This window comes from Homo sapiens, chromosome 2 (assembly GCF_000001405.40).
Source record: "Homo sapiens chromosome 2, GRCh38.p14 Primary Assembly".
NCBI classification, from domain to species: domain Eukaryota; kingdom Metazoa; phylum Chordata; class Mammalia; order Primates; family Hominidae; genus Homo; species Homo sapiens.
The window spans coordinates 38,001,482-38,023,596 of record NC_000002.12 but is presented as its reverse complement, the minus strand read 5'-3'; the positions used below and the strand labels follow the sequence as shown (position 1 = coordinate 38,023,596).

General features: G+C 40.9%; 1 protein-coding gene, 1 long non-coding RNA gene and 1 pseudogene across 19 annotated transcripts in view, besides 1 other annotated feature; 1 reads left to right on the top strand and 2 right to left on the bottom strand.

Moving 5' to 3' along the window:
• RMDN2 (regulator of microtubule dynamics 2) overlaps window positions 1–22,115 on the bottom strand; it is a 146,238-nt gene that overhangs the window by 43,542 nt on the left and 80,581 nt on the right. For 6 of the 18 annotated variants that reach the window (XM_047443518.1, NM_001170791.3, NM_001322211.2 and 3 more), the window contains 3 exons: window positions 19,553–19,606; window positions 19,381–19,461; window positions 5,853–6,411 (listed from right to left, as the gene is read on the bottom strand). In XM_047443518.1, coding sequence (XP_047299474.1) covers window positions 6,358–6,411; window positions 19,381–19,461; window positions 19,553–19,606 — 189 coding nt within the window. In that variant the 3' untranslated portion in view covers window positions 5,853–6,357. The other 12 variants (XM_047443519.1, NM_001322212.2, XM_011532616.3 and 9 more) reach the window with 7 other exon arrangements.
• RMDN2-AS1 (RMDN2 antisense RNA 1) overlaps window positions 1–22,115 on the top strand; it is an 86,008-nt gene that overhangs the window by 12,745 nt on the left and 51,148 nt on the right. The window lies entirely within an intron of this gene.
• Window positions 5,279–5,811: an enhancer, noted in NCBI's record as "NANOG hESC enhancer chr2:38244929-38245461 (GRCh37/hg19 assembly coordinates)". NCBI's record gives its function as "activates a minimal SCP1, AML or CMV promoter by ChIP-STARR-seq in naive H9 embryonic stem cells {active_cell/tissue: H9 hESC(naive)}" and the evidence as "EXISTENCE:reporter gene assay evidence [ECO:0000049][PMID:30033119]".
• On the bottom strand, window positions 6,961–8,014 carry LOC100419680 (zinc finger protein 430 pseudogene; annotated as a pseudogene).

Genomic DNA, 22,115 nt, shown 5'->3' with positions numbered 1-22,115 from the left:
CCTTTCTCAACACACTCAGTTCAAGTAGATCAAGTCATTAAAAACAGGCTTCACTACCTTATCTTGTGGAGGAGGGGAAGGAAAAGGCGGGCATATGAAAAAAATAAAAGATACAAAATACATTGTTGGGAATTTATGATGCAAAACTAGAAAATGTCTATCAATATTCAAAATACAAATATAAGATTTTTCTTTACATTTTCTAGCTTTGTTTTCCTTCTTTCTTTACTGCTCTCTACCTTTTAAAATTCTTTTTTCCTTTCCCTTGTTTCCTTTTTTACCTTCTGTCTTTCCACTGTCTTTCACTTCCCACATCTCAATTCTCCCATTTGCTGGCAGGATTGTACAGTGGCTGACCACAGCATGGACTCTGGAGCAGTCTGCCCAACTCCAAATCTTTTGCTCATGGTGTTAGGCATGGAAATATCCTGTGCTTTAGCTCCCCTATCTTAAATGGGGTAATATCAAATGTTTCTTCCTCATAGGTTGCTGTGAGGTTTAAAATTGTTAATATAGGAAAAACACTTGGAATAGGTAATTACCAGGTAAGTGTTACCATTCTTAGAGCCCCCATTCTACATCAGACACACTGGACTCCAATCAATTAAACATAAACAGCCCCGGGCTCAAAGAAAGCACAAGTGAGATTCCAAGGGCTGGAACGCAATCCTGGCTTGGTCACTACAGTTGTCTGACCCCGACCCTGTCACTTACACATCAACGCTTAAACTGTTTATTGGTAAAAATGAGAAGTTTAGTGTAAAAGCTAACCCCATTCAGCTTGTACCACTGCTTTTTGAAATCGAAAAGTATAAAAATATTATCAAATGAAAAGCCTTTTGATAACTTTTAGGCACAAATGAGAAGTGGCATGGATTTTCATGTTACAATGAAGGCCATTTGTTATTTAGTAAGAAAGATAACATCGCAATTACATGGACATCACTAAAATTTCCGTGGACCACTAAGTTACTTCTTTAATGTTTTATGAGAAATTGCAACATACAGTTTGATTCTTATCTTCTGAAATCAAGCATATTCAAAGTTTGGGTCAGAACTCCCGCTTTCCAAAGTTGTACACGAAGTCTCTTGAGAAGTTAGCAGTTTGGGTACTTCGTCTGTGAGTGGCAGGTGTACCATCAGCTTGGACTTCGTGATCTAGCAGGAACAATCCTCATTTCAGGAACACTCTGCAGCTATTCTGTCTTCTCTGAGGTCAAGCACCATGAGTGGTGAGTGAAGTAACCATAGAAAACGAGATTCCCCATGGCTCACTTTGTGTGAAATTCCCTGGAGTAGGCATAATGTTCTACATATAATCCTGTCATTCAAGAAAATCACTCAGTTTTTAGAAAATAGGTGTATTTAATATAGAAACCATTTTTACGTGGCCTCATTACAGATAACTTCTTTATTTTGGTTTGTTTCCTCATCTTTATCTACACAGTACCTTTTATATATCCGTTGTGAGTAACTAAGACTAGATTAAGGAGTCGAAATAAGCCGTGTTTAAGTACCAACTCTTTCCACTTGTTAAGAAAGGTCTGTGACAAGTTATTTATTCCAAGCCTCAGTTATGTCATTACCTACATGGAAAGAAGAACACCTCCCTCACTGGATTGGACAGAGGATTAAATTGACAAAATATCCTATGTATCCTCTATAGCAGGGGTCCCTAAACCCCGGACCACAGGCTGGTACTCGTACTGGTAACTGGCTTGTGGCCTGTTAAGAACTGGGCCTCACAGCATGACATGAACTGTGGGCAAGTGAGCAAAGCTTCATCTGTATTTACAGCTGCTCCCCACTGCTCATATTACCACCTGAGCGCCTCCTCCTGTTGGATCAGTGGTGGGATTTGTACGGCCAACCCTACAGTGAACTGTGCATGTGAGGGATGTACGTTGCACACTCCTTATGTGTCCAGAATTGGTGGGTTCTTGGTCTCACTGACTTCAAGAATGAAGCCGTGGACCCTCGCGGTGAGTGGTACAGTTCTCAAAGGCGGCGTGTCTGGAGTTTGTTCCTTCTGATGTTCGGATGTGTTCGGAGTTTCTTCCTTCTGGTGGGTTTGTGGTCTCGCTGGCTCAGGAGTGAAGCTGCAGACCTTCGCGGTGAGTGTTACAGCTCATAAAGGCAGTGTGGACCGAGTGAGCAGCAGCAAGATTTATTGCAAAGAGCAAAAAAACAAAGCTTCCACAGTGCAGAGGGGGACCCCAGCAGGTTACCACTGCTGGTTCCGGCAGCCTTTTATTCTCTTCTCTGGCCCCACCCACATCCTGCTGATTGCTCCATTTTACAGAGAGCCAATTGGTCTGTTTTACAGAGAGCTGATTGGTCCGTTTTGACAGGGTGCTGATTGGCGTGTTTACAATCCCTGAGCTAGACACAAAAGTTCTCCACATCCCCACTAGATTAGCTAGATACAGAGTGTGGACATGAAGGTTCTCCAAGTTGCCACCAGAGTAGCTACAGAGTGTTGATTGGTGCATTCACAAACCCTGAGCTAGACACAGGGTGCTGATTGGTGTGTTTACAAACCTTGAGCTAGATACAGAGTGCTGATTGGTGTATTTACAATCCCTTAGCTAGACATAAAGGTTCCCCAAGTCCCCACCAGACTCAGGAGCCCAGATGGCTTCACCCAGTGGATCCCAGACCCGGCCACAGGTGGAGCTGCCTGCCAATCCCGTACCGTGCGCCGCACTCCTCAGCCCTTGGGTGGTCGATGGAATTGCGCACCGTGGAGCAGGGGGTGGCGCTCGTGGGGGAGGCTCCGTTTGCACAGGAGCCCAAGGAGGCGGGGGAGGTTCAGGCATGGGGGGCTGCAGGTCCCGAGCCCTGCCCTGCCGGGAGGCAGCTAAGGCCTGGTGAGAAATCCAGCACACCGCCAGTGAGCCAGCACTGCTGGGGGACCCAGCACACCCTCTGCAGCCGCTGGCCTGGGTGCTAAGCCCCTCATTGCCTGGGCCGGCAGGGCCGGCTGGCCGCTCCCAGTGTGGGGCCCGCCAAGCCCACGCCCACCCGGAACTCCAGCTGGCCCGCAAGCGCCGGGCACAGCCCCAGTTCCCTCTCACCCTCTCCCTGCACACCTCCCCGCAGGCTGAGGGAGCCGGCTCCGGCCTTGGCCAGCTCAGGAAGGGGCTCCCACAGTGCAGCGGTGGGCTGAAGGGCTCCTCAAGTGCCGCCAAAGTGGGAGCCCAGGCAGAGGAGGCGCAGAGAGCGAGCGAGGGCTGCCAGCATGCTGTCACCTCTCATGAGAATCAATGCCTGATAGGTCTGTCACGGTCTCCCGTCACCCCTAGATGGGACCATCTAGTTGCAGGAAAACAAGTTCAGGGCTCCCACTGGTTCTACATTATGGTGGGTTGTATAATTATTTCATTATATATTACACTGTAATAATAATAGAAATAAAGTGCACACTAAATGTAATGCACTTGAATCATCCTGAAACCATCCCCTCACCCGCGGATCCAGGGAAAAATTGTCTTCCATGAAACTGGCCCCTGGTGCCAAAAAAGGTTGGGGACCACTGCTGTATAGCACACCCTTCTAGGTTATCAGATTCTAGTCCTGTTCACGGTTTTTTAGCTATTTAGCAATTATTTGCAATGGTTTTAGTTTTAAAAAATTATTTTTAAATTAAAAAAAATTTTTTTGAAACAGTTTCACTCTGTCACCCAGAGTGCTGTGGAGAGTGGAGTGTAGTGGCGCAATTACAGCTCATCACAGCCTTGACCTCCTGGGTTGAAGTAATCCTCCCACCTCAGCCTCCCAAGTAGCTGTAACTACAGGCATGCACCACCACGCTCAGCTAATTTTTGTAGAGATGGGATTTCACCATGTTGCCCAGGCTTGTCTTGAACTCCTGAGCTCAATGAATCCTCCCGCCTCAGCCTCCCGAACATAATTTCTCTGATTAAATGGCTTTATGAGGAATACAGATATGACAGTATGACTCTGGAAGGGGGCATACAGCAGGGAGTTAATGCTCCTTTGAAAGGTTATTACCAGGATGAGGAGGGGAATTCCCTTTGTTAATACCCATTTGGAGAAAAGGCCAAATGTGTCAGAAACTCCTAATTCTCTAAAGACTGAATTAAGAGTACTACATTTCTATTGGGTCAAGCTCATATCCAGAAACAACTACACTGATTACCCAGTCAACGGATATCAACTTGTCCATTGAAGACATATTATGAGAAACAATAATTTTGTTAAAATATAATACATGAACACTGATTAGATCTTATGTCAGGTTCCAATTATGAGTCCCAAATCCCACTGCTACCCACCAGGAGTGTTTCTTGGTAGTCCTCATAATTCGTAAAGGAAGTGTTTGTACCACTCTGCCGGAATGAGTTGCTCCCACAAAACCTACAACATACTTGATTCTATGTCATTTGGTGCTAGCTGGATTCACCTTTCTATACTTTCACATTCCTTTAGCTGTTTAGAGATAGCCAGAGGTATCCATAGCCTCTCAGCATATCCACGAGAGAACCTGCAAGACTCTTGCCCCATCTAGCCAAGAGTTTCAACATTAGACCAGTTGTCAGAGCAAAGTGAGAACCAGCTGGACTGATTCAGTATCTTGACTGATCATTATAGAAGATGGGGCTAGGGGGTTGCTTAATTTACCTAACCAGAATGTCTATCACGGCTTGAAATTTTAAGTGTATAAATGTGTGTGTGCGTGTGTGCGTGTGCGTGCATGTGCACCCATGTATTTGGGACAGTAAACAGAAAATCCAAATTTTTACTCTGACTTCCAAGATGAGGCTGATTAAGAGGTAGCAGGGAATCTTTATAGCTCACTGCTAAGTTCAACCTAAAAAAATCACTTTATTTATTATTAAAAACTGGGAAATATAGGAAAAATACAGCTCCACAGAAATATAAACTACTACTATTTTAGTGTATTCCCCACCAGATGCTCTTCTGTGCTTATTTTTATACTGTTGAGATCCTATGTATGTACTATTTTTGACTTGTACTTGCACTTAAGATGTTCTGTGCCGTTGCCTATAACATTTTTGTAATTATTTTTAATGTCAAAATGTTATTCGATTGTAGTTATATTTCAGTGTGGCTAGCTGCTTTCTTACTGTTGGACATAATGCTATGCTGTTATGAACATCTGTGAATCAGTCACTGCACTTTACTCTTTATGATTATTTCCATGACTAAAGATTTAATACTTTTCAAAGGCTCTCGATAAATTTTACCAAAGGTTTGTGCCAAAATACTTTTTAAATTTTTTCTTTTATATTTTCATATTTAATGTACCCAAGTGACAAAATATTCTCTCACTAACCGTGTATGAGAATGCTCCATCTCATGACAATATTGCTAGCATTGAATGCTTTCCGAATGAAGAAAAAAAATCCTTGCTAGTGTCAGGCCTCTCAGCCCAAGCTAAGCCATCGTATTCCCTGTGACCTGCATTATACGTCCAGGTGGCCCCAAGCAAGTGAAGAATCACAAAAGAAGTGAAAATGGCTGGTCCCTGCCTTAACTGATGACATTCCACCACAAAAGAAGTGAAAATAGCCGGTCCCTGCCTTAACTGATGACATTATCTCGTGAAATTCCTTCTCCGGGCTCATCCTGGCTCAAAAGCTCCTGCAATGAGCACCTTGTTACCCCCACCCTTGCCAGGCAGAGAACAAGGCCCTTTGACTGTAATCTTCCACTACCTACCCAAATTTTATAAAATGGCCCCACCCTTACCTTCCTTTGCTGACTCTCTTTTCGGACTCAGTCTGCCTGCACCCAGATGAAATAGCCTTGTTGCTCACACAAAGCCTGTTTGGTGGTCTCTTCACATGGACACGAGTGAAAGCTAGTTTGATGGTAAAACAGTATTTTATTGTAATTTTATTCACATCTTTTGATTACCAGTTACAATACTACATTTGTTTGTTTTTCCTCTTCTGCCAACAACTTGTTCATGTCCTTTGCTGAGTTTTCCATTTTTCATCCACATTAATGAAATTATTTTGTCTTACGAAGTCTCCATTGAAACAATAAAATATTCATGAGAATTCATTTTATTGGATTTAAATATTTTATTTAAAGAAATATTCTTAAGGCTGCAGTTTATTGATAAGAAAAATATAAAGCATACATGTTTATAGATTATGTATTGACATTATAGTATATAGATTCTCCAAATAACATAATTAATTTTGTAGTGCTACTAGTGGAATGCATTCTGCAGAAACATGGCTTTACCTTCAAATCTAAGCACAATACCCTTACATCAAAAATGAAGGATAATAAAAGCACAACTTTGATTCATTTAAATTTTGGTAGACCACATCTGATTTGTTGAAGAGTAAATTCGTTTATTTACCTCTTCAAGGAAGTCATTATTTTTTGCATCTCTTTCTGTGCCTCTTTATCCTATAAAGAAAATACAAATACATAATGAAATTTCATGCATTCATCTTGATACTCTAGCATGCTGAAACAGACTTACACTGACTTGAGGAGATTCCCCAACATGAGAACTTTAAGGTTCATGAGGGTACGTGCAATCACCAAATACTTTCCCTAATTCAGGACATTGACAGTGTTTTATTATTTTTTTTAATAATTTTCTTTTTTTTCATTGTAACAAGTTGCTTTTCTCTTAGTGAGTGTTTTATACAGCATTAATCCTCACATGTCCTGGAGTGTCGCTCTATGAGTAAAGGGTTTATCATGTTTATTTCATTGAATTCCTTCTCCAGCATGAAGTATCTAGTATTTTCCCAACAGGTTTCTTCCTCCTGGAAAAAGCTCGCCACTTTCTTTCCTGTTTTACTCTAAGTTTTTTTTCCATATCAAGGCTTGAGCTTTGCCTGAAGGGTGTAGGGTTTAGCCCTGTGGGAGCTCTCTGGTATCTAAAAGATGGCATCTTTCAGATAGATGGAAACTTGAGTGAGACCACCTATAAAGGTTAGGGCTGAGGTTGAAGGCTGTTCCAAATGCTGTACATTTATAGGGTTTCTCTCCATGTGCATTGTCTCATTATGACTAAGGTGAGATCATTAAATGAAGGCTTTCCCACACAGATCATATTCATATGGCTTCTCTCCAGTGTTAATTCACGGTGTTGTTTAAAGGATAAATGGTCACTGAAGGCATTTCCACACTGACTACAGACAAAGAGTTCTTTGGTATGAATAAAAGTTAACTCTCTGGATGAGGTGTTTCCTACATTCATTACATTTATGGAGTTTCCCTCCAGTGGGAGCTAACACATGCTGAGTCAATGTTGAGCTGTGACAACTTCCTCATACTCATTATATTCCAAGGGCTCCTCTCCACTGTGACATCTCTGCTACTGAGGACATAACAGGCTGTTAGAGCCTTGCTCAAATACCTTCATTTATTCATTTATTTTCCCACATATGAATCTGATGCCGAGCATTCAGTATAGTCTCTAGTTAACGTCTTCCACGTTGGTTACACTGATACAGTGTGTTACTCTCCTTTGCGTACAGAAGTGTTCTCCTTTGTAGCAGGTCAGCTGCATAGCTATATGATTAATTTTATGGTTTTCATTATGTTTCAAGCACTTAATATATTGGCTATATTTATGCAATTGCCCTCTTATAAGAACTCAGGTTATGGTTTGGAGCTCAGGTTATTCCTTTTCTCCCAAATCTGAACTATCCACACCTTTGAGCTGAGATAGCACACTTTCTCTAGCCTCAAATTAAAGTCATATGATTGTGCTGCATTCCTAATTTGGCCCTCCCCAGGCCAATTCTGCTGTGGAGGAACAGAGTTCACCCTTACGAATCTCAGTATTGACATGTTGTTAGATCGCTCCTTCCTGTAGATATTCTACACGGAAGTTCTGTCTTTGTTTTTAAGACTTTCTTGCCCGGATGCTGGTTTTGAGGATTTTCTCCAGAATCACATCTCTGTGCAGCTTCCTCTGAGATGGGTCTAGCAGAGTCTACTCTTTCTGAGTAAAATCCAAAGCATTATCCTTAAAGGTCAACATTTCCTTTTTTTTCTTTTTTTTTTTTTTTGAGACGGAGTCTCGCTCTGTTGCCAGGCTGGAGTGCAGTGGCGCAATCTCCGCCTACTGCAACCTCCGCCTTCCGGGTTCAAGTGATTACCCTGCCTCAGCCTCCCGAGTAGCTGGGGCTACAGGCACGTGCTACCATGCCCAGCTAATTTTTGTATTTTTAGTAGAGACAGGGTTTCACCATGTTGGCCAGGATGGTCTCGATCTCTTGACCTAATGATCTGCACGCCTCTGCCTCCCAAAGTGCTGGGATTATAGCTGTGAGCCACCACGCCCAGTCGAGGGTCAACAATTCCTATCGTTGTACTGTCAAGAACTCAGTCACCACCTGTCTTTCTCTGTAATCTCATTCAGGGGCCATCTGAGCACTAAGCCAGAAGGGCAGAACCCAGACAGATAGAAACTTGAGACCACGATGATACTGGGGTTGGGGTTACCACATTCGGGAGCTCAGAGCTTCCTTCTAACTTTCTAGAAAAAGCCAGGAACCTGTATTTTTAATGAGCCCTCTACTGTCCAAGCAAGTCTTAAATATTTAAACAACTGGGTTTAAATTCTAATTTCCTTAGATTATATAGCAAAACCTCAGGATGACCTTTCCTGGCCCATGGCCCAAGTTGCAGTACCAGTTTTATTTTCTCATAAATCTCTGTGCTTTTATTTCCAAAACACTCATCAAATTTTATTGCTATGACTTTTTCAGTGCCTGCCTTTCCCACTAGACCACAGAATTCATGATGGCAGAGGTATCTGTTTTTTTCTCTTTGTATCACAAGCCTCTAGCAGAGTACACCTCTATAATTGTAAAATAACTGAATAAAGATAATCTCTCTCTTTCACCCAAACACACATATTCAAAAATATAGATTTATTTCATCTGATAGTGTTGGAAAAATATGGTTTAGAAAACTACATCAATGCTCTCTGCTAAAGACTGGATAAATAAGAGAGAGACTTATTTACATTAAACTGTCATTATTCTCCTAGCATTTGGGTAGTGACTATCACACACCAACTTCATGAGACTGGGTACTGGTTAAGAACAGCTAGTCCCAAACTGATGCTGTATCATCAATTATTTTAAGAAAATAAATAAATAAAAGGGTTCTAAGAAACTTCTTTAGAGTGTTTTTAAGATCAATTTAAACAATACAACCAAGACCATTACATATATTGCAAAATCTTAAGAAATAATACATTTTAAATGCAAATGACAAGAAGGTAAGAGTCAAAAGAGTAGAAATAGCGGGTTGTAAACAGACTTTCTACAAATCATGAAAATGACTGTTTAGACAGCGGGAAAAGTCTGTCTATACTATCTATACTGTAATAGCCTTATTAATTTTTTTTTTGCGACGGAGTTTCACTCTTGTTGCCCTGGCTGGAGTGCAATGGCACGATCTCAGCTCACCACAACCTCTGCCTCCCAGGTTCAAGAGATTCTCCTGCCTCGGCCTCCCTAGTAGCTGGGATTATAGGCATGTGCCACCACGCCCGACTAATTTTGTGTTTTTTTTTTTAGTAAAGATGGGGTTTCTCCATGTTGCTCAGGCTGGTCTCGAACTCCCGACCTCAGGTGATCCGCCCGCCTCGGCCGCCCAAAGTGCTGGGATTACAGGCGTGAGCCACGACGCCCGGCTGCCTTATTAATTTTCTAAAAAGTACTAGGAATAATTCTCCAGGCACGGATAGCACAGATGAGTTAATTTACAAGAAATAAGTTTCAACCAGAAAGAAATGGGCAAACAAGAATTTCTAGCAAATGAGACAACATTACAGGATTTTGACAAGAGACCCATTTATTACCCTGAGCTGTAGCATTTCTATAACAGGAAGGCAGAGTGAATGGATACAAATTCTGTTTTATAACTTATCCAGAAAACCAATGTTTTCAAGATATCATAATCAAATATGATATCTTAATTAAGAAAGAGCATTTAAAGCAGAATTAGGATTTTGTTACTAAGAGCAGTTACCAATGAGAGTTATGCTTCTCAACTCATAAAACAGGTTGGAAATACAGCTCAAAACTTTAATCAACAGGCCATTTCAAAGACAACTATACCACTTGCTAAATATAACGTGCTCTTAACTTTTAGCACTCCCAGAGTACACTTCTTTTTGTGGTTTGTTTCTGGTAACATTGGATTTACTAGTCTATGAGTCTGTTTGTCTTAGAAAGGTGACTAATGCCATTTCAAAATGTTTCAGCAATTTTAAAATATGGGTTTTTCTTTACCAGTTTAGCACCTCTTATCATACAACATTACATAATGCTTTTTATATTTGAGCTTTCTCAGTAGGCTCCACGTTGATGAACTTTAATACTGCCTCCAGGCAAACAACTTTCAGGTTGCCAGTGAAGTCATTATTTCATTCAGCAATCGTTCTCACACTGTCTTAGACACAGAAATCCCTTTTTTAAAAAAGAAATGTTTCTCAGGATCTGAGATTACTTTCCTAGGGTCAAGAAAAGTCCACATGAATAATAAAAATACTGTAGTTTCAAATTCTGGGAATGTAAAGCTGCTTACACCTTTGAATCTGGGCTCTAGAGACCAAACGACTGACACTCCCAATATCAACTAGCAGTGTGATGAGCTGAGAGTTCCCTAATAGGGGACAGAAGACATGTCCACAAATGCCTATAATGCAAGGAAGAAGCTATAAATGCCACAAGAAAGAAACAAACATCTTATGAAATGTCACACGAGAGAGTAAACTGATGGCTAGGTTGTCCTCTTGTAACTAGTGGCATTGCTAGACATTTTGGAAATGAATAAACTTGGTTAGCAAAATCACTAATGGGGTATATTTCAATCTGAAAAAACTTTATAGAGATGGAGGGGTATTACATATAACTCACTTCATCCTATTTTCTCATGGAAAAAGAAATGGAAATATACCTTACATACCTTTACTACTTGGAAAAAAATTGCTAAGAATACAAATGGAGACATCACTGAGGAAAAAAATGCAATGTGAGAAATATTTGCTCATACTATTTTGCTTATTACAGAAATACTTCCAATGTCTAGCCTTCTTACATTCATTAGGAGTCCTCTTTATTATTACTATTGACACTATTATTTTTATTTGTACGATATTAATGCCTTGGTTCTTTCTATCAACACTTACTGAGTGCTTATTATATGCTAGGCAGTTACACAGGATTAGGGGTACAGTGATGAATGAGACAAACCTGGTTGTTACTTTCATGGAACAATCACATTAATAATGACATAATAACTGTGTGAAATGATAGCAAGGAAAAGTATAGGGGCTTTCTTGCCAGCAGGCGTCAAGGAAGTCTTTCCTGACGAAACAGCATCCATGGTAAGGCCTGGAGGATAGGAAGGAATAAAGCTAGTGGAAGGAGCAGAGGGTGGGTAGGAGTGTTTCAGGAAGTGGAACAGTATGTTCTAAGGGTGAAGGGCAGGCTGGGTGGTGCAGAGGAGAGGGGAGCTGGGAACATATGAAGCTTGAGAGATTGGTAGGAGCTGGGTCAGAGCCTTGAAAGACATGCTAAAAATTCTGACCCTCATCCCAGCAGCAAAGGGTTTTGAGCAGGGAAGTGACATGTTGACGTTTACATTTAATCTGTTGCTTGGGCTGCTACTGGGAGTCAAGAGTGGCCTGGCGGGAGGCAAGGAAGCTGTGAGGAGAATGACTGGGAGGCTGGTACAATCTGTGGTCCGGGGGAAAGTGGGCACATTCCTTTTGCTCCAGGCAAACCGAGCTTTGCTCTCTCACTTTTGTGCCTCTGTTCATGACCTGCAATATACTTGCCCACAACTCCATATTATACAGATCTTTCAAAGTCTACCTCTGATGCCACCTGGCCTCTTCTAGGTAAAAATAATTTCTCCCTTTTGAAAATTTCCATAACTGATGATTTGTACTTCTCTTAGTACCTTATGCTTTCTGCTTCGAGCTATAGTTATTTGGACACACATCATATATTCCCTTCTAGGCTATAGGCTCCTAGAAGGCAACAGGTGTGTCTTATTTGTTTATAGTTCAGATCACAATAAATATTGGAACTTGTATTGCTCCAACACAGAAAAAGAGGAGGGTTTTTTTTACTGAGGCATTTATTTTCTGTTAATGATTTAGAGGATGATAGTGTTTGGTGGTATGAGAAAAGGAGGAAAATATATACCTATTTTTTTGTTGTTGTTCCCACAACACCAGTCAACAGCTCACAGGAGCAGACTGAGTTGTTAACCCTGTGGAATGCTTGAAACTTAAAGCATACCCAGAATCCTGACTTACTGAATCAAAGGGCAAGAGACAGGGCAATAGTTTATTTTTCATTAATGGCCAGTGTCCAAAAACCAAGAACATGTTATTACATATTTTTCATCTTTGTCATGGCCTTGGATAGCCACACCTGCTGTGAATTGAGGACTGAGGATGGCAACCCATGGTCACTCCCCTTACTCTAGGCTGGGCCACCTGTCTAGCTTGTTTGCTGCCTACATAGTTAATCTCCAGCTCCCCGGAATTATGCTGTGCCCCCTCCTTCCCACTGAAGGAATTATGCTTGCTTCACTCCCTGCTGTCTTACATCTAACAAGGATCAGGATGTTTTAACTGGTAGGGGCCTCCTGGTGACAGGTTATCTTACAGAGATACAGCAAATTTTAAAACTTTATAGTACATGTAAAATCCAAGTCAAAGGTTTTAGTATGAAAGAAAACTCTGGGGTGGAGCCAAGATGGCTGAATAGCAACAGCTCCAGTCTACAGCTCCGAGCGTGAGTGATGCAGAAGATGGGTGATTTCTGCATTTCCACCTGAGGTACCGGGTGCATCTCACTGGGGAGTGTCAGAAAGCGGGTGCAGGACAGTGGCTGCAGTGCACCGAGCATGAGCCGAAGCTGGGCAAGACATTGCCTCACCTGGGAAGTGCAAAGGGTAAGGGAATTCCCTTTCCTAGTCAAAGAAAGGGGTGACAAACGGCACCTGGAAGATCGGGTCACTCCCACCCTAATACTGCGCTTTTCCAATGGTCTTAGCAAGTGGCACACCAGGAGATTATATCCCTCTCCTGGCTCGGAGGGTCCTATGCCCATGGAGCCTTGCTCATTGCTAGCACAGCAGTCTGAGATCAAACTGCAAGGCAGCAGCAAGGCTGGGGGAGGGGAGCGAGCCATTGCCGAGGCTTGAGTAGCTAAACAAAGCAGCCAGGAAGCTCGAATTAGGTGGAGCCCACCACAGCTCAAGGAGGCCTGCCTGCCTCTGTAGACTCCACCTCTGGGGGCAGGGCTTAGCCAAACAAAAGGCAGCAGAATCCTCTGCAGACTTAAATGTCCCTGTCTGACAGCACTGAAGAGAGTAGTGGTTCTCCCAGCACGCAGCTGGAGATCTGAGAATGGACAGACTGCCTCCTCAAGTGGGTCCCTGACCCCTGAGTAGCCTAACTGGGAGGCACCACCCAGCAAGGGCAGACTGACACCTCAGATGCCCGGGTACTCCTCTGAGACAAAACTTCCAGAGGAACGATCAGGCAGCAACATTTGCTGCTCACGAATATCCACTGTTCTGCAGCCTCTGCTGCTGATACCCAGGCAAACAGGGTCTGGAGTGGACCTCCAGCAAACTCCAACAGACCTGCAGCTGAGGGTCCTGACTGTTAGAAGGAAAACTAATAAACAGAAAGGACATCCACACCAAAACCCCATCTGTACGTCACCATCATCAAAGACCAAAGGTAGAAAAAAACCACAAAGATGGGGAAAAAACAGAGCAGAAAAACTGGAAACTCTAAAAATCAGAGCGCCTCTCCTCCTCCAAAGGAATGCAGCTCCTCACCAGCAACGGAACAAAGCTGGACGGAGAATGACTCTGACAAGTTGAGAGAAGAAGGCTTCAGACGATCAAACTACTCCGAGCTAAAGGAGGAAGTTCGAAACCATGGCAAAGAAGTTAAAAACCTTGAAAAAAAATTAGATGAATGGCTAACTAGAATAATCAACGCAGAGAATTCCTTAAAGGACCTGATGGAGCTGAAAACCAAGGCACGAGAACTACGTGACAAATGCACAAGCCTCAGTAGCCAATTTGATCAACTGGAAGAAAGGGTATCAGTGATGGAAAATCAAATGAATGAAATGAAGCGAGAGGAGAAGTGTAGAGAAAAAAGAATAAAAAGAAACGAACAAAGCCTCCAAGAAATGTGGGACTATGTGAAAAGACCAAATCTACGTCTGATTGGTGTACCTGAAAGTGATGTGACAGGGAGAATGGAACCAAGTTGGAAAACACTCTGCAGGATATCATCCAGGAGAACTTCCCCAATCTAGCAAAGCAGGCCAACATTCAAATTCAGGAAATACAGAGAACGCCAAAAAGATACTCCTCGAGAAGACTAACTCCAAGACATGTAATTGTCAGATTCACCAAAGTTGAAATGAAGGAAAAAATGTTAAGGGCAGCCAGAGAGAAAGGACGGGTTACCCATAAAGGGAAGCCCATCAGACTAACAGCTGATCTCTCAGCAGAAACTCTACAAGCCAGAAGAGAGTGGGGGCCAATATTCCACATTCTTAAAGAAAAGAATTTTCAACCCAGAATTTCATATCCAGCCAAACTAAGCTTCATAAGTGAAGGAGAAATAAAATCCCTTACAGACGAGCAAATGCTGAGAGATTTTGTCACCACCAGACCTGCCCTAAAAGAGCTCCTGAAGGAAGCACTCAACATGGAAAGGAACAACCGGTACCAGCCACTGCAAAAACATGCCAAATTGTAAAGACCATCGAGGCTAGGAAGAAACTGCATCAGCTAATGAGCGAAATAACCAGCTAACATCATAATGACAGGATCAAATTCACACATAACAATATTAACTTTAAATGTAAATGGGCTAAATGCTCCAACTAAGACACAGACAGGCCAATTGGATAAAGAGTCAAGACCCAACAGTGTGCTGTATTCAGGAAACCCATCTCACGTGCAGAGACACACATAGGCTCAAAATAAAGGGATGGAGGAAGATCTACCAAGCAAATGGAAAACAAAAAAAGGCAGGGGTTGCAATCCCAGTCTCTGAGAAAACAGACTTTAAACCAACAAAGATCAAAAGAGACAAAGAAGGCCATTACATAATGGTAAAGGGATCAATTCAACAAGGAGAGCAAACTATCCTAAATATATATGCACCCAATACAGGAGCACCCAGATTCATAAAACAAGTCCTTAGTGACTTACAAAAAGACTTAGACTCCCACACAGTAATAATGGGAGACTTTAACACCCCACTGTCAACATTAGACAGATCAACGAGACAGAAAGTTAACAAGGATACCCAGGAATTGAACTCAGCTCTGCACCAAGCGGACCTAACAGACATCTACAGAACTCTCCACCCCAAATCAACAGAATACACATTCTTCTTAGCACCATGCCACACTTATTCCAAAATTGACCACACAGTTGGAAGTAAAGCTCTCCTCGGCAAATGTAAAAGAACAGAAATTATAACAAACTGTCTCTCAGACTACAGTGCAATCAAACTAGAACTCAGGATTAAGAAACTCACTCAAAACCCCTCAAATACATGGAAACTGAACAACCTGCTCCTGAGTGACTACTGGGTACATAAAGAAATGAAGGCAGAAATAAAGATGTTCTTTGAAACCAACGAGAACAAAGATACAACATATCAGAATCTCTGGGACACATTCGAAGCAGTGTGTAGAGGGAAATTTATAGCACTAAATGCCCACCAGAGAAAGCAGGAAAGATCTAAGATTGACACCCTAACATCACAATTAAAAGAACTAGAGAAGCAAGAGTAAACACATTCAAAAGCTAGCAGAAGGCAAGAAATAACTAAGATCAGAGCAGAACTGAAGGAAACAGAGACATAAAAAACCCTTCAAAAAATCAATGAATCCAGGAGCTGATTTTTTGAAAAGATCAACAAAATTGATAGACCTCTAGGAAGACTAATAAAGAAGAAAAGACAGAAGAATCAAATAGACGCAATAAAAAATGATAAAGGGGATATCACCACCGATCCCACAGAAATACAAACTACCATCAGAGAATACTATAAACACCTCTACGCAAATAAACTAGAAAATCTGGAAGACATGGATAAATTCCTCGACACTTACACCCTCCCAAGACTAAACCAGGAAGAAGTTGAATCTCTTAACAGACCAATAACAGGCTCTGAAATCGAGGCAATAATTAATAGCTTACCAACCAAAAGAAGTCCAGGACCAGATGGATTCACAGCCAAATTCTACCAGAGGTACAAGGAGGAGCTGGTACCATTCCTTCTGAAACTATTCCAATCAACAGAAAAAGAGGGAATCCTCCCTAACTCATTTTATGAGGCCAGCATCATCCTGATACCAAAGCCTGGCAGAGATACAACAAAAAAAGAGAATTTTAGACTAATATCCCTGATGAACATCGATGCAAAAATCCTCAATAAAATACTGGCAAACCGAATCCAGCAGCACATCAAAAAGCTTATCCACCATCATCAAGTGGGCTTCATCCCTGGGATGCAAGGCTGGTTCAACATACGTAGATCAATAAATGTAATCCAGCATATAAACAGAACCAAGGACAAAAAACATATGATTATCTCAATAGATGCAGAAAAGGCCTTTGACAAAATTCAACAACACTTCATGCTAAAAACCCTTAATAAATTAGGTATTGATGGGACGTATCTCAAAATAATAAGAGCTATCTATGACAAACCCACAGCCAGTATCGTACGGAATGGGCAAAAACTGGAAGCATTCCCTTTGAAAACTGGCACAAGACAGGGATGCCCTCTCTCACCACTCCTATTCAACATAGTATTGGAAGTACTGGCCAGGGCAATCAGGCAGGAGAAGGAAATAAAGGGTATTCAATTAGGAAAAGAGGAAGTCAAATTGTCCCTGTTTGCAGATGACATGATTGTATATCTAGAAAATCCCATCATCTCAGCCCAAAATCTCCTTAAGCTGATAGGCAACTTCAGCAAAGTCTCAGGATACAAAATCAATGTGCAAAAATCACAAGCATTCTTATACACCAATAACAGACAAACAGAGAGCCAAATCATGAGTGAACTCCCATTCACAATTGCTTCAAAGAGAATAAAATACCTAGGAATTCAACTTACAAGGGACGTGAAGGACCTCTTCGAGGAGAACTACAAACCACTGCTCCAATGAAATAAAAGAGGATACAAACAAATGGAAGAACATTCCATGCTCATGGGTAGGAAGAATCAATATCGTGAAAATGGCCATACTGACCAAGGTAATTTATAGATTCAATGTCATCCCCATCAAGCTACCAATGACTTTCTTCACAGAATTGGAAAAAACTACCTTAAAGTTCATATGGAACCAAAAAAGAGCCCACATTGCCAAGTCAATCCTAAGCCAAAAGAACAAAGCTGGAGGCATCATGCTACCAGACTTCAAACTATACTACAAGGCTACAGTCACCAAAACAGCATGGTACTGGTACCAAAACAGAGATATAGACCAATGGAACAGAACAGAGCCCTCAGAAATAATGCTGCATATCTACAACCATCTGATCTTTGACAAACCTGACAAAAACAAGAAATGGGGAAACGATCCCCTACTTAATAAATGGTGCTGGGAAAACTGGCTAGCCATATGTAGAAAGCTGAAACTGGATCCCTTCCTTACACCTTATACAAAAATTAATTCAAGATGGATTAAAGACTTACATGTTAGACCTAAAACCATAAAAACCCTAGGAGAAAACTTAGGCACTACCATTCAGGACATAGGCATGGGCAAGGACTTCATGTGTAAAACACCAAAAGCAATGGCAACAAAAGCCAAAATTCACAAATGGGATCTAATGAAACTAAAGAGCTTCTGCACAGCAAAAGAACCTACCAACAGAGTGAACCGGCAACCTACAGAATGGGAGAAAATTTTTGCAATCTACTCATCTGACAAAGGGCTAATATCCAGAATCTACAATGAACTCAAACAAATTTACAAGAAAAAAACAAACAACCCCATCAAAAAGTGGGCACAGGATATGAACAGACACTTCTCAAAAGAAGACATTTATGCAGACAAAAGACACATGAAAAAATGCTCATCATCACTGGCCATCAGAGAAATGCAAATCAAAACCACAATGAGACACCATCTCACACCAGTTAGAATGGCAATCATTAAAAAGTCAGGAAACAACAGGTGCTGGAGAGGATGTGGAGAAATAGGAACACTTTTACACTGTTGGTGGGACTGTAAACTAGTTCAACCGTTGTGCAAGTCAGTGTGGCGATTCCTCAGGGATCTAGAACTAGAAATACCATTTGACCCAGCCATTTGACCCATTACTGGGTATATAGCCAAAGATTATAAATCATGCTGCTTTAAAGACACATGCACACGTATGTTTATAGCAGCACTATTCACAATAGCAAAGACTTGGAACCAACCCAAATGTCCAACAATGATAGACTGGATTAAGAAAATGTGGCACATATACACCATGGAATACTATGCAGCCATAAAAAATGATGAGTTCATGTCCTTTGTAGGGACATGGATGAAGCTGGAAACCATCATTCTCAGCAAACTATCGCAAGGACAAAAAACCAAACACCACATGTTGTCACTCATAGGTGGGAACTGAACAATCAGAACACATGGACGCAGGAACGGGAACATCACACACCGGGGCCTGTTGTGGGGTGGGGGGAGTGGGGAGGGATAGCATTAGGAGATATATATACCTAATGTTAAATGACGAGTTAATGGGTGCAGCACACCAACATGGCACATATATACATATGTAACAAGCCTGCATGTTGTGCACATGTACCCTAAAACTTAAAGTATAATAAAAAAAAAAAGAAAGAAAACTCCATCATAGAAGGAGAGAGTAGAAGGGTGGCTGTCAGGGGCTGGAAGAGTGGGAGAAATGGGGAGATATTGGTCTAGGGTACACAGTTTCAGTTATGCAGGATGAATAGGTTCTGGAGATTTAAAGGACAGCAATGTGACTGTAGTTAATAATACTGTATTGTATATTTGAAATTTGCTAAGAGAGTGGATCTCAAATGTTCTCAACAATAAAAAAAGTAACTATGTGAGGCGATGAATGTGTTAATTAGCTTGATTGTGGTAGTCATTTCATAATGTATATGTCTATCAAAACATCATGCTGTATACATATAGTTTTTGTCAATTATACTTCAATAAAGGTAGAATAAAAATAAATACATAAAATTGAATAGAGAAAACTACAAATGTATCTAAGCGAGTTATTCCTGTTTTGAGCTCGAATAGTACTAACAAGACAACAGCACTCACTGTCACTTTCTGGACTTACCTCTTTGGTAACAGTAGGAAGCAATAAAGCCAAATTACAGAACTTCAAAGCATTCTGGTTTTCCTCAAGATCAGTATAACACTGGAAATGAGAAATAACCAATATTAAACATAATCCGTTTTTATGCGATAGGTTCAAAGTGATCTTAAAGCAGAACAGTGGTCTTCATTACCTTTGCTAAGTACATGTAATTGGGATTAGAATAACCAGGGCATAGTTCTTCAGCCTGATTTGAGAGAAAAACATGAGAGAATAACAGGGCAATATTAAAATAACAGTAACCACAAGTGAAGAGAATATATTTAAATAAATCAAATATTATGAACCAAACTGCCCTAAGAATTTAGGTTGGTTGTTTCACATTTGAATCACTTGATCAGTTTAAGTATCTTTTGGGTGGAAACATAGCCTTTGCATTTAGCCATTAAAATAAAATTGATTACCATGGTCATAAAGCTTACAAAGCAATGAGATACTTTATGGTTTTCAGATTTCTTTACATAATCATTTTCCTCAGTCTTCTTTCTCTATCCTTTTCTTTTCAAGAACAAAAACAACTGGTGATATTCCTAGGACAAGTCCTATATATTTGTCTGTCTGTCTGTCTGTCTGCCTATCTATCTATCTATCTATCTATCTATCTATCTATCTATCTATCTATCTATCTATCAGGTCTTGCTTTGTTGCCCAGGCTGGAGTGCAGTGGCGCGATCTCAGCTCACTGCAACCTCCGCCTCCCAGGTTCAGGCAATTCTCCTGCCTTGGCCTCCAGAGTAGCTGGGATTACAGGTACCTGCCACCATGCCTGGCTAATTTTTGTATTTTTAATAGAGATGGGATTTCACCATATTGTCCAGGCTTGTCTCAAACTCCTGACCTCAGGTGATCCACCCTCCTCGACCTCCCAAAGTGCTGGGATTACAGGCATGAGCCACCACTCCCAGCCTCACTATCTATTTAGAAAATAAGAGTAGAGCATGACTGGTACCCCATGGCAAGCATCTTCCACTAGATTAATATTTGATTTCTTGTGATTTCAACATATTCCACAGGAGTTAAATAATATCTGAAGTCCATCAAATCATGGACTTTTAAAGGAAAGACAGATCCTTGAAACATCCAGTTCAGGTAGTAGACATGAGTAGGTATTATAAAGGTACTTTTCTCCTATCTACTGATCTTTTATGTACCAGTTCCTTTATCTCTGGGAAATAAGAATTCTTTCAGGTATGGTATTGTCACTAGACAGCTCTTCTTAGAACCTAAGTCAGTCTTGCTTCAGAGTCAGCTTTCGCTGTTTTGAAGGCCCAGGCAAGCAAGCTTACAACCTGGAGTCTCCACCCTAGAGGGGGGTAGAACACAAGAGAAGAGGATACTTTTAAAAATTTACAAAAATATCCTTGTTTCACAAGATATGAACAATTCAGACATTTCCAAAATTAAAAAGTGAAAGTTTCTCCTTCCCAGTTTTATTCTCAACTTCAGGCTCATGCCACAGAGGTAACCACTATCAGCCGTTTGACATGTAACCTACCAGACTCTTTGCCAAGTATAGGCAAATAAAAAAACAGATATTTGGCTTTTGAAAACAAAACAAAATGGAACCATTTTACATATATATAATTTACAGATATATAATTCTTGTCAATTATACCTCAGTAAAGCTAGAAAAACACAAATACATAAAACTGAATAAATGTGCACATTGATAGAAAATCTACATATTGGCTCCAGACTTTTTTTCCCATATTACAAACACATTTTCATGTCAGCATAGATATACTTCATCATTTTCAATAGCTGTATTTCATATTCTGCATGAATCATAATGAAAGGAAGCATTCTCCATTGGACATCTTGATTTATTCTCCGTTTTCATTATTACTACTAATAACCAATTAACATACTTTTTCCCATATGCTTGTGTACATGTGTGTTTATTCCTGTAAGGGAGATTCCCAGAAGTTGAATTGCTGAGTCAAAATAATATATATATTTTTAAAGATAGATACTAATGAAGATAAATCCAAATCAGGGTGCTAAGAAGTGGTCCAACACCTTATAAGGGCACATCCCTTGTAAAAGACATTTTATTCTGTACAGAATCCAAAAGAGAAGGGTTCTAGAAGAAGGAGGACAAAAATCTCCTACTAGGGTAGGGAGCCAGACTCGGTATAAATCTTTAAGACCAGGTAGGTTAACAGTGTCTGGGCGTGGAATGAAACCTGCTGGAGAGACAGCAAAGCTACCAACAAATTAAAGGAAGTTGTCAATTTCAATCAAGCCAGAGCCTTGACCATCCTACAGTGGCATCCATGGATTCTGGTTCTTCTGCTTCTTCTCTCTTAATCAATGGATTCTGGTTTTCCTGCTTCTTCTCTCTTATCCATGGATTCTGGTTCTCCTGTTTCTCTCTTGTCTAATCATTTCCATTTCAAGTCTTCTAGTTTGGTAAGTGCATTTCTTGAGCCATTCTAATAAGAGGGACTTAAGACTGAACTTTATTCAATTATACCTTCTTCTATGCCTGGTAGTTGCCTCAGCTCTGTCCGAATCCCATATTGGGGATAACTTGCCCCAGTGTATGCATGTAAACAGCTTATTTCTTTAATGCTGGCATTCTAATTCTGGATATATAGCTTAACACCCATGTTTAGTTAACTAAAGTGATTATAAATCAGAACATCTCTTTTTGTTCTCATGGTTTAAAAATCTGAAGCCCAACAGAACACAGA